Source organism: Homo sapiens, chromosome 19, assembly GCF_000001405.40.
Source record: "Homo sapiens chromosome 19, GRCh38.p14 Primary Assembly".
Classification (NCBI taxonomy): Eukaryota; Metazoa; Chordata; class Mammalia; order Primates; family Hominidae; genus Homo; species Homo sapiens.
Genome location: NC_000019.10, coordinates 17,691,572 through 17,703,984, shown reverse-complemented (window position 1 = coordinate 17,703,984; position 12,413 = coordinate 17,691,572). Strand labels below are relative to the sequence as shown.

The 12,413-nt window shown below is 49.1% G+C and overlaps 1 annotated feature.

Annotated features, from left to right (window-relative positions):
• Positions 2,399–2,626: a silencer, noted in NCBI's record as "fragment chr19:17812168-17812395 (GRCh37/hg19 assembly coordinates)". NCBI's record gives its function as "represses an EF-1alpha promoter that drives an FKBP-Casp9 reporter gene in an ReSE screen in K562 erythroleukemia cells {active_cell/tissue: K562}" and the evidence as "EXISTENCE:reporter gene assay evidence [ECO:0000049][PMID:32094911]".

Genomic DNA, 12,413 nt, shown 5'->3' with positions numbered 1-12,413 from the left:
ATTACGTTCCTTTGTCTGCCTTTATTTCCTGCCTCCGTCTCCTCCTCTTGACCAATCCAATCACTTTTGTTTATGATCCATCCAATCCCATCCAACCACTCCAGGCCCATCCAGTCATTTTGCAGCCTAGTGTTATTTCCACCCTACATCCCTGCAGGGCAGGGCCTGGAACTTTCAAAAGATTGATGTTGCCTTTGTCCCATTTAATTCTCTGGGAAACCATTATTATTAATTATTATTATTATTATCTGTTGTCGTTGTTATTGTTGTTGTTTTTGAGACAGAGCCTCACTCTGTTGCCCAGGCTGGAGTACAGTGGCGCGATCTCGGCTCACTGCAGCCTCTGGCTCCTGGGTTCAAGCGATTCCCCTGCCTCAGCCTCCCGAGTAGCTGGGATTACAGGCGCCCGCCACCACGCCCAGCTGATTTTTAAACTTTTAGTAGAGATAGGGTTTCACCATGTTGGCCAGGCTGGTTTTGAACTCCTGACCTCAGGTGATCTGCCCGCCTTGGCCTCCCAAAGTGCTGGGATTACAGACTTGAGCCACCGCACCTGGCAGAAACCATTATTTTTTATCCTCATTTTATAGGCGATAAGCCAAGTTTGCCCTCATCGATTTCTCTGCCCCAGGCAGCCTGACAGCTACAATTAAGTTCAATAAGAGGTCCAATCTCAGAGCCTTTGCACACACCCTGCCCTCGGCCAGGAATGTCCTTCCTCCAATTCCCTGTGCTGAGCGAGATCCTCCTTGCTCGCTGGACCCTTGACCTTGGCAAAGAAGGAGCCGCAGAGAAAAAAGGGCAAGAGAAGATACAGACAGCACCGGCATAATTAAGTGGAGGGATGAGAAGGCTCAAATCAATAGCTTTGGAATTAGCTGAGCTGTTGGCTGGAAGAAAATGGGGCACCAGAGCTTAAAAATTAATTGGATCCGAGTGCTCAATGGTGAACGTTGAAATGCCCCTTTCATCATTATGATTATTATCATCATCATTATTATTATTTTGAGATGGGGTCTCACTCTGTTGCACCCAGGCTGAAGTGCAGTGGCGTGATCTCGGCTCACTGCAGCCTCTGCCTTTGAGGTTCAAGTGATTCTCCTGCTTCAGCCTCCCAAGTAGCTGGGACTGACTACAGGCAGGCGCCACCACGCCTAGCTAATTTTTTTTTGTATTTTTAGTAGAGACGGGGTTTCACCATGTTGACCAGACTGGTCTGCAGCTCCTGACCTCAGGTGATCCGTCCACCTTGGCCTCCCAAAGTGCTGGGATTACAGGCGTGAGCCACCACACCTAACAGAAACGTCCCCTTTCAGATCAGCGCGAGATGGGCAAGGGTGTGGATCCAAACTACGTTCATTGAATGAATGAACGATTACACAGACGTCTGCATTGCAGAAACGGCCTATTCTGAGAGTTACTCCAGACCCACTTCACGTCCCAGCCTTGTCCCCCTCCCCCGCCCCGCTGCCTGCTGCCCCAAACTCTCAGGAACTCAGTCTCCCCATCTATAAATGAGCACTTGACTGTAATCCCAGCACTTTGGGAGGCCGAGGCGGGTGGATCACGAGGTCAGGAGATTGAGACCATCCTAGCCAACACGGTGAAACCCCATCTCTACTAAAATACAAAAAAAAAAAAAAAAAAATTAGCTGGGCATGGTAGTCCCAGCTACTCGGGAGGCTGAGGCAGGGGAATTGCTTGAACCCAGGAGGCAGAGGTTGCAGTGAGCCAAGATTGCGCCACTGCACTCCAGCCTAGTGACAGAGTGATACTCCATCTCAAATAATAAATAAATAAATAAATAAATAAATAAATAAATAGGCACTTGAGAGAAGAAGAGGAGCACCTATGGTAAGCCCAAGGACACTGAATTCCATGTTCCCTGCAGGTAGCATTCCTGCTGACCTGATAACAGGGACTGGCGTTGGGCATGGACAGAGTTGTAAAGGGTGGACCCCTGGGTGTGATGTCTTGGCTTTGATAGTCCTGGAAGAGCAGGGTGTCCCTTGACCTTGTATCTATGCCCTTGCCCCAAATAGCCACACCTCATTGCGTGTTGTCGACTATCCCATTGGTGTCTCCAGCCTGCATCTCCCCAGAGCTCCAGGCCTCAGTATCCAATGGCATTGGATATTTCCACTGAGTGCCTTGCAGGCATTTCACACTCACAAGGCCAAAACCTGGCTCTTAGAATAGTTACTCGCCCTGAGATCTGCCCCTTCTCCATCCTGTTGGTGCCTCCACTATCACACAGTAGCCTGGGTCCTGATTCCTGGATACGCTCTTTATTTTATTTTATTTTATTTTTTTTGAGATGGAGTCTTGCTCTGTTGCCCAGGCTGGAGTGCAGTGGCGCCATCTCGGCTCACTGCAAGCTCCACCTCCCAGGCTCATGCCATTTTCCCACCTCAGCCTCGTGAGTAGCTGGGACTACAGGCGCCCGCCACCATGCCTGGCTAATTGTTTGTATTTTTAGTAGAGACGGGGTTTCACTGTGTTAGCCAGGATGGTCTCGATCTCCTGACCTCGTGATCCACCTGCCTCGGCCTCCCAAAGTGCTGGGATTACAAGCGTGAGCCACCGCGCCCGGCCCTCTTTATTTTATTTTTTTAAGAGACAGGGTCAGCCGAGCGTGGTAGCTCATGCCTGTAATCCTAGCACCTTGGGAGGCTGAGGCAGGCAGATCACTTGAGGTCAAGAGTTCAAAACCAGCCTGGCCAACATGGTGAAAACCTGTCTCTACTAAAAATACAAAAAACTAGTGGGGCGTGGTGGCGGGTGCCTGTAATCCCAGCTACTCAGGAGGCTGAGGTACAAGAATCGCTTGAACCTAGGAGGCGGAGGTTGCAGTGAGCCGAGATTGTGCCACTGCACTCCAGCCTGGGCAACAGAGGGAGACTCTGTCTCAAACAAACAAAACAAAACAAACAAACTAAAAAAGAGACAGAGTCTCACTCTGTCACCTAGACCCAGGCTGGAGTGCAGTAGTGCAGTCATAGCTCACTGCAGCCTCCATCTCCTTGGCTCAGGCAGTCCTCCCACTGCAGCCTCCTGAGTAGCTGGGACTACAGGCACACACCACCATGCCCAGCTCATTTAAAAATTTTTGTAGAGATGGGGTCTCACTCTGTTGCCCAGGCTGATCTCAAAATCCTGGTCTCCCTCAAGGAATCCTCCCGCCTCGGCCTCCCAAAGTGCTGGGATTACAGACATAAGCCACTGCACCTGACCTGGACTCATTCTTGTCCCTTCTCTTTCCTTACCCTGCATGTTCAGTGCATCAGCAGGTCCTGCAGTCTCCGGCTCCAGAATGAAACTGAGCCTCCCTGAGCTCCTAAGGGGCCTGCTGTATCTTGTGTGGATGCTGTCCTGGCTCCCTGCCACCTACACTCCTGCCCCCAGCCATCCTTGCTCCCCTAGGGAGCCCCAGATGGATTCTTAAAATCATAAAGCAGGCCGGGAGCGGTGGCTCACGCCTGTAATCCCAGCACTTTGAGAGGCCAAGATGGGCAGATCACGAGGTCAGGAGATCGAGACCATCCTAGCTAACATATGAAACCCCGTCTCTACTAAAAATACAAAAAAATTTAGCTGGGCGTGGTGGTGGGCACCTATAGTCCCAGCTACTTGGGAGGCTAAGGCAGGAGAATGGCGTGAACCCGGGAGGCAGAGCTTGCAGTGAGCCGAGATCGCGCCACTGCACTCCAGCCTGGGCGACAGAGCGAGACTCCATCTCAAAAAAAAAAAAATCATAAAGCAGATCACGCCCTTCCTCTGCTCAAAGCCCTCCCGTGGCTCCCTATTACCCTCATAGTATAGCCCACACTCTTTCCTGTGATCAGGAGGCCTGGCATAGTCTGTATCCCTGCTGACCTGCCCCCCTCCCCGCCCCCGACTCCATCCCTCCCTCACTCCCTCCACCACGTACTGACTCACTCATGTTTATGGAGTGCCCACAGTGTTCTGATTCCGTTTTCCGTTCAAGGTGGTCACTCCCTGCCAGTGCAGTTGGGGGCATCAGAGAGAGGTCTGGGGGTGGGGAGACACGGGTTAGAACAAGACCTCAGTGGCCACTTAGGCTTGGGCTGGAGTCTCAGCCCTGTCTTGCAGAGCTGAACCCCCATCTCTTCTTCCTTCTCAGTCACTCTCTCTCCATCTCTCTGTCTGTCCATCTCAGAGTAAATTCCAGAGCCTTCTCCATCCCCTGCCCTGAGGCCCTGAATGACCTTCCCCCGCAGTTCCCTTTCTCTCTATTCTTCTTCTTCTTCTTCTTCTTCTTTTTTTTTTTTTTGAAACAGAGTCTCGCTGTTTTGCCCAGGCTGGAGTGCAGTGGCACAATCTCTGTTCACTGCAACTTCTGCCTCCCAGGCTCAAGTGATTCTCCTGCCTCAGCTTCTGGAGTACCTGGGACTACAGGCGTGCACCACCACCCCTGTCTAATTTTTGTAATTTTTTAGTGGAGACGGGGTTTCACCATGTTGGGCAGGCTGCTCTCGAACTCCTGACCTCAGGTTATCTGCCCGCCTTGGCCTCCCAAAGTGCTGGGATTACAGGGGTGAGTCACCATGTCCGGTCCCCTTTCTCTCTTTTCCTCTCTCCCCCTCACTCATTCACACAAGCCTTCTCGGCTTCTCCAACACACCAGGCACAGCCTCACCTCAGGGCCTTTGCACCTGTCCTGTGAATGCCTGTCCCTCATCTCTCTCCCTGCCTGGCTCCACCTCTTTTACATCTTGGCTCTCGTGTTGCCTCCTCCGGGAAGCAGATTCCCCCACCCCTTCCATCCCTCTCTGTCACCAGACCCTTCCCATCGCCTCATAATCGTCCTTGACTTCCTCTGCCTGCTTGTTCATTCCCACTTCCCATGCTAGGGACAATGTCGCCTGGCAGAACCTGGTGACAAGCTTAGTTCCCAGCATCCAGATGGCACCAGCAAACGCTGGCTGAACAAATTGACGTCTCATCGGTATCCGTCTACTCCATGGAGCTTTGCACAGTGCCAGGAACATCAAATGCACCCCGTAAGGACTGGGAATTTATCTGAAGACCAAGCAAGTTTGCCTTGGATTGGGGCTGCTAGAAAAAGCTCTGCCCAGCCGGGTGCGGGTACCTTATGCCTGTAATCCCAGCACTTTGGGAGGCCAAGGTGGGAGGATTGCTGGAGCCCAGGAGTTCAAGAGCAGACTGGGAAACCCGATGAAACCTCATCTCTACAAAAGTACAAAAAATTAGCTGGGGCCGGGCGCGGTGGCTCATGCCTGTAATCCCAGCACTTTGGGAGGCCGAAGGGGGCACATTGCCTGAGGTCAGGACTTTGAGACCAGCCTGGCCAACATGGTGAAACCCCTTCTCTACTAAAAATGCAAAAAAAATTAGCTGGGTGTGGTGGCGTGCGCCTGTAATCCCAGCTACTCGGGAGGCTGAGGCAGGGGAATTGCTTGAACCAGAGAGGTGGAGGTTGCAATGAGCCGAGATTGCGCCATTGCATTCCAGCCCGGGCGACAGAGACTCCATTTCAAAAAAAAAAAAAAAAACTTAGCTGGGCATGGTGGTGTGTACCTGCAGTCCTGGCTACTCAGGAGGCTAAGGTGGGAGGATCACCTGAGCCTGGGGAGGTCGAGGCTGCAGTGAGCCGTGATTGTGCCGCTGCACTCCAGCCTGGGCGACAGAGTGAGACACCATCTCACAAAAAGAAGAAAAAAAGCTCTTACCATTCATTCTCCATTCAAAAGCTGAGCTGGACAGATGCTGTGCCGTGAAACTCTTCTCATCTAAAGCCCAGATGTTTTCATCGCTGCTTTTGGCACCGGGGGTGGGCAGGTTTTGATAAGAGCAGGGTCCCTGGGGAAGCCCTGGAGCTCAGCAAGGCAGGAATGATGTGTCTGCATTTGCTGGCAGTGGTAGCCTCACTCTGCAGGTGGGGGGGTTGTACTTTTCACCAGCCTGTACATTATCTCCCATCACTTCTCTTTCCATTATTTTTCTTTGTGGGTTTCCTAGGGTGGTGGAGAGAAAGCATGAAATTGGAAGCCAAGAGAAGAGAGATGGAAAGACACAGAGAGTCACACAGGGTTTGCAAAGGCTCCAAATGCAGATGCACCTGGAGGGGAATGAAGTTAAGAGGGGGCCACATGGAGGTTGCAGTGAGCCGAGATCTTGTCACTGCACTTCAGTCTGGGTGACAAAGACTGTCTCAAAAATAAGTAAATAAATAAATAAATAAAAGAGGGGGCCGGCCGGGTGTGGAGGCTCACGCCTGTAATCTCAGCACTTTGGGAGGCCAAGGCAGGTGGATCACGTAAGGTCAGGAGTTCGAGACCAGCCTGGCCAAGATGGTGAAACCCCGTCTCTACTAAAAATACAAAATTAGCCAGGTGTGGTGGCTCATGCCTGTAATCCCAGCTACTTGGGAGGCTAAGGCAGGAAAATCGCTTGAACCTGGGAGGCGGAGGTTGCAGGCTGAGATGATGCCACTGCACTCCAGCCTGGATGACAAGAGGAAAACTGTGTCTAAAAAAAAAAAGAGGGGGCCACAGAGAAGAGAGGGCAAGAGAAGACAGAAGCAGCATGGCATAATTAATTGGAGGGAGGAGGAGACAGCTCAAATCAATACCTTTCGAATCAGCCGAGCTATGCTGTTGGTGGGAATGAAATGAGGCACCAGGGCTTAAAAATTAATTGGATCCAAATGATCAATGATGAACGTTGAAACATTCTCTTTCAGAATTGGAACAAGGCAGGAATGCCTGTTAACATGGTGCTGCGCATTTTACTAAAGAAAACAAGAAATGAAAGTTCTGAGGAGTGGAAAGGAGGAATTAAGGGTGTCTTTAGGCCTGGCACGGTGGCTCACGCCTGTAATCTCAGCACTTTGGGAGGCCAAGGCGTTCGAGACCTTGAGGCCAGGAGTTCGAGACCAGCCTGGCCAATGTGACGAAACCCCATCTCTACTAAAAATACAAAAAATAGCTGGGCGTGGTGGCTTGCCTGACCTGGACTCACTCTTGTCCCTTCTCTAATCCCGGCTACTCGGGAGGCTGAGGCAGGGGAATTGCTTGAACCAGGGAGGTGGAGGTTGCAATGAGCCGAGATTGCGCCACTGCACTCCAGCCTGGGGGACAGAGTGAGAATCCATCTCAAAAAAAAAAAATTAGCTGGGCATGGTGGTGTGTACCTGTAGTCCTGGCTACTCAGGAGGCTAAGGTGGGAGGATCACCTGAGCCTGGGGAGGGTAATCCCAGCTATGTGGGAGGCTGAGACACAAGAATTGCTTGAACCCAGGAGGCAGAGGTTGCAGTGAGCCAAGATCGCACCACTGTACTCCAGCCTGGGTGACAGAGCGAGACCCTGCCTCAAAAAAAAAAAAAAAAAGGAAAAAGAAAAAAAAAAGAGTGTCTTTATTTGCAGATAACATCCTCATACGCAATAAACTCCCAAAGAATGTGCACATCTAATTATTGGGTTTACAAAAAGTTGAGAAAGCTTGATAGATGCTGGTCACAGTGGCTTACGACTGTAATCCCAGCACTTTGGGAGATGAGGCAAGAGGATCGCTTGAGCCCAGGGGTTCAAGACCAGCCTGGGCAACATAGGGAGACCCCGTATCTACAAAAAATAAAAAATTAGTCAAGAATGGTGACATAAACCTGTAGTCCCAGCTACTGGGGTGGCTGAGGCAAGAGGATCACTTGAGCCAGGGAGGTTGGGGCTATAATGAGGTATGATTGCACCACTGCACTCCAGAAAGGGTGACAGAGTCAGACCCTGTCCCCCAAATAAATAGGCCACTTATCCACAGCACCAAATACTCAAAGCATCTAGAAAAAAATCCCAAAGTTATAAGCTTTGCTGAAAGATAGATAAATGGAATTATTCACTGTATGTTCACTTTGAAAGATTCAATCACAAAAGATGCTCATTCTCCTGATTTGGTTTATAGATTCAATGCAATTCCAATCTAAGTCCCAACTGAGTTTCTCCATGCAACCCAAAAAGCTGAGAAGAAAGCAAAGAATAAGTCAGATGCTTGTGAAGCAGAGCAAGATGAGTGACTGGTGTTGGCAGATGTAAACGATTAGCACAAAGCTTCTACCAGGAATAGATCAGCCTCTGGGACAGAAGAGAGATCCTAGACCAGACTTCCAGGTGGGCAGACATCCAGCAGCACTGCTTGACTTCTGGTTGGTCTATGCTTGCTGTTAAATCCACACATGCATGAAAACTTGCTTTGTGAGTTTCATTACAGGGTATTGGGACAATAGATCATCCCCATGGACAAAATATGCGATTGGACTTTATCTTACTCCACACTCAGAAATCAGTTCCAAGAGAAGTCAAGACATGACTGCAAATGACAAGACTCAAAAAATGTAGAATACGTATGGGAAGATCTTTATGACGCTGGGGCAGAAAATGATTTCTTTCCTTTCTTTCCCCTTCCTTCCTTCCTTCCTCCCTCCCTCCCTTCCTTCCCTCCCTCCCTCCTTTTTCTTTGTTTCTTTCCTTTCCTTTCTCTCTTTCCTTCTTTTCTTTCTTTCTCTTTCTTTCTCTTTTTTCTCTTTCTGTCTCTCTTTCTGTCTCTCTCTCTTTCCCTCTCTCCCTCTCTCTCTTTCTTTCCCTTCCTTCCTTCCTCCCTCCCTCCCTTCCTTCTCTTCTATTCTTTTCTTTTTCTCTTTCTTTCTCTCTCTCTCTCTTTTTTTTTTTTTTTAATTTGAGATGGAGTCTCGCTCTGTCACCCAGGCTGGAGTGCAGTAGCATGATCTCCACTCACTGCAAGCTCTGCCTCCCGTGTTCATGCCATTCTCCTGCCTCAGCCTCCCAAGTAGCTTGGACTACAGGTGCCTGCCACCACGCCCGGCTAATTTTTTGTATTTTTAGTAGAGACGGGTTTCACCGTGTTAGCCAGGATTGTCTTGTTCTCCTGACCTCGTGAGCCACCCGCCTCGGCCTCCCAAAGTGCTGGGATTACAGGCGTGAGCCACCGCACCCGGCCTCTTTTTCTTTCTTTCTTTCCTTTTTTTTTTTTTTTTAAACGGGGTCTCACTCTATCACCCAGGCTTGAGTGCAGTGGCACAATCACAGCTCATTGCAGACTGCAGTCTCGACCTCCCAGGCTCCGGTGATCCTCCCACCTCAGCCTCTCAGGTAGCTGGGACTACAGGTGTGCACCACCTCTCCTGGCGAATTTTTGTATGTTTTGTAGAGCCGGGGTCTCCCTATGTCGCCTGGGCTGGTCTTGAACTTCTGGGTTCAAGTGATCCTCCCGCCTTGGCCTCCCAGAGTGCTGGGATTATAGGTGTAAGCCAATGCACCCACCCGGGAAAGGATTTCTTAAACAAGCAAGTATGCTATGAGTTAGACATGGTGTCCTACACTGCAAAAGACTGAGCAAGTTGAATAACTTAAATCCACAGAGATGAGAAGCAGGTTAATGGTAGCCTGGGGCTGGGCGTGGGGGAAAGGGAGTGATTGCTAATCGGGATGGGGTTTTATTTCAGGGTAATGAAAATGTTCTGGAACTGGACAGAGGTGATTAATGCACAACAACATAGCAACACAGTCAATGTGGGAAATGCCACTGAATTATCCAGTTCGAAATGGTAAATTTTGCTAGAGGCTGTGGTGGGAGGATTGCTTGAGACTAGGAGTTTGAGACCAGCCTGGGCAACATAGCGAGACCCCCACCACTAAATGCATTAAAAATATATAAGTAGGCTGGATGTGGTGGCTCACACCTGTAATCCCAGCACTTTAGGAGGCCAAGGCAGGCAGATCACCTGAGGCTGGGAGTTCGAGGCCAGCCTGGCCAACATGGTGAAATGCTGTCTCTACTAAAAATACAAAAATTAGCCGGGCATGGTAGAGAGCATACCTGTAATCCCAGCTACTCAGGAGGCTGAGGCAGGACAATCCCTTGAACCTGGGAGGCAGAGGTTACAGTGAGCCAAGATCGCGCCACTGCACTCCAGCCTGGGTAACAGAGCAAGACTCCGTCTCAGAATGTACCCTGTAACCATATATAAGATGTCAACATTATTAGAAGCTGGGTGAAGGGTATATAGGATGGACTGTAAAATGCAACTCTATACCTCAGCAACTGTTCTGTATGTCTAAAATTTTTGTTTCCCAAATAAAAAGTTTAGGTCGAGTGAAGTGGCTCATGCCTATAATCCCAGCACTTTGGGAGGCTGAGGCAGGAGGATTGCTTGAGCCCAGTAGTCCCAGATCAGCCTGGGCAACATGGCGAAACTCCATCTCTACAAAAGATAAAAAAAAAAAAATTAGCTGGGTGTGGTGGCATGTGACTGTAATCCCAGCTACCAGGGAGGCTGAGGTGGGAGGATGGCTTGAGCCCAGGAGGTGGAGGCTGCAGTGAGCTGTGATCATGCCACTGCATCCAGCCTGGGTGACAGAGTGAGAACCTGCCTAAAACAAACAAACAAACAAAAAAAAAGAAAAGAAAAAGTAAGAGCTTCTGTTCAGAAAATGACACAGTAAATACAGTGAAGACAAGCTACAAAATTGGAGATTTTTACAACAAATGAAACTAACAAAGGATTTGTTCCTAATATGCATAGGAACTATAAATCAATAGAAAAAGACAGTGAAATTTTAAGAAATGGACAAAAGGCCGAGTGCAGTGGCTCACACCTGTAATCCCAGCACTTTGGGAGGCCGAGGTGGGTGGATCACTTGAGGTCAGGAGTTGGAGACCAGCTTGGCCAACATGGTGAAACCCTGTCTCTACAAAAAATACAAAAATTAGCCGGGCATGATAGAGAGTGTACCTGTAATCCCAGCTACTCGGGAGGCTGAGGCAGGACAATCCCTTGAATCTGCGAGACAGGTTACAGTGAGCTGAGATCTCAACACTGCACTCCAGCCTGGGCGACAGAGCAAGACTCCATCTCAAAATGTACCCTGTAACAATATATAAGATGTCAACATTAGTAGAAGCACTCAAGCCTAGATGATAGAGAGAGATTCAGTCTCAAAAAAAAAAAAAAAAAAAAAAAGAGAAAGAAATGGATAAAAGACTTGAACAGGCATTTCACCATAAAAAGAAACCAGTAATCACATAAAAAGTTCAACGTCAAGAGCAATCAGAAAGCAAACCAAAACCCAAATGAGGCACTCCTTCCCTCCCTCCACATAGGCCCAGTGAAAAAACTTGGACAATTCAAAGTGTTGGCAAGAACTTAGAGCCAGGCACGGTACCTCATGCCTGGAATTCCAGCACTTTGGCAGGCCGAGGCAGGAGGATCACTGGAGCTCAGGAGTTTGAGAACAGCTTGGGCAACATAGGGAGACCCCATCTAAAAAAAATAAAATGAGCCAGGCATGGTAGCACAGGCTTGTAGTCCCAGCTCCTTGGGAAGCTGAGACAGGAGGATCGCTTGAGCCCAGGAGGTGGAGACTGCAGTGAGCTGTGATTGCACCATTGCACTCCAGCCTGGGCCTCAGAGTGAGACTATCTCAAGAAAAAACAAAAACCAATAACAAAACAAAAACAAAACATAGAGGAACCGATGATTATACTGTGTTGGTATGATGAAAATCGCCAGACTCCCAATAAAAAACATGACATTATCAGGTGAAGCTGAGCATATATGTATTTTCTTTTCTTTCTTTCCCTCCTTTTTTTTTTTTTTTTTTGAGACAGAGTCTTGCTCTGTTTCCAGGCTAGAGTGCAGTGGCGTGATATCGGCTCACTGCAACTTCCGCCTCCTGGATTCAAGCAATTCTCCTGCCTCAGCCTCCTGAGTAGCTGGGACTACAGGGGTGTGCCATAATGCCTGGCTATTTTTGTGTGTGTTTTTAGTAGAGACAGGGTTTCACCATGTTGGCCAGGATGGTCTCGATCTCTTGACCTCATGATCTGCCCATCTCAGCCTCCCAAAATGCTGGGATTACAGGCATGAACCACCATGTCTGGCCACATATATGTATTTTCTGACCCAGCCATCCTTACTCATGTGTGCCAGCACACAAGTCTGAAGTCTGAGGATGGTCATAAAAACTTTTTTTTGTAATAAACCTGAGCTTGAAACAACCCAAAAGTCCATGACCTGGAGAACAGATGAATAGCCAATAGAAGATTCATACAAAGGAATACTATGCAGCAGTAAAAAATGCAAGCCTTACAGCCACATGCAGCGATATGGATGAATATCAGCAGAATCACATTGAGCAAACAAAACAGATTAGCAGTCCAGGTGCTGTGGCTCACACCTGTAATCCCAGCACTTTGGGAGGCTGAGGTGGGTGGATCACCTGAGGTCAGGAGTTTGAGACCAGCCTGGCCAACATGGTGAAACCCTGTCTCTACTAAAAATACAAAAATTATCACTGCAACCTCCATGGCCAGGCATAGTGGCTCATGCCTGTAATCCCAGCATTTTGGGAGGCCG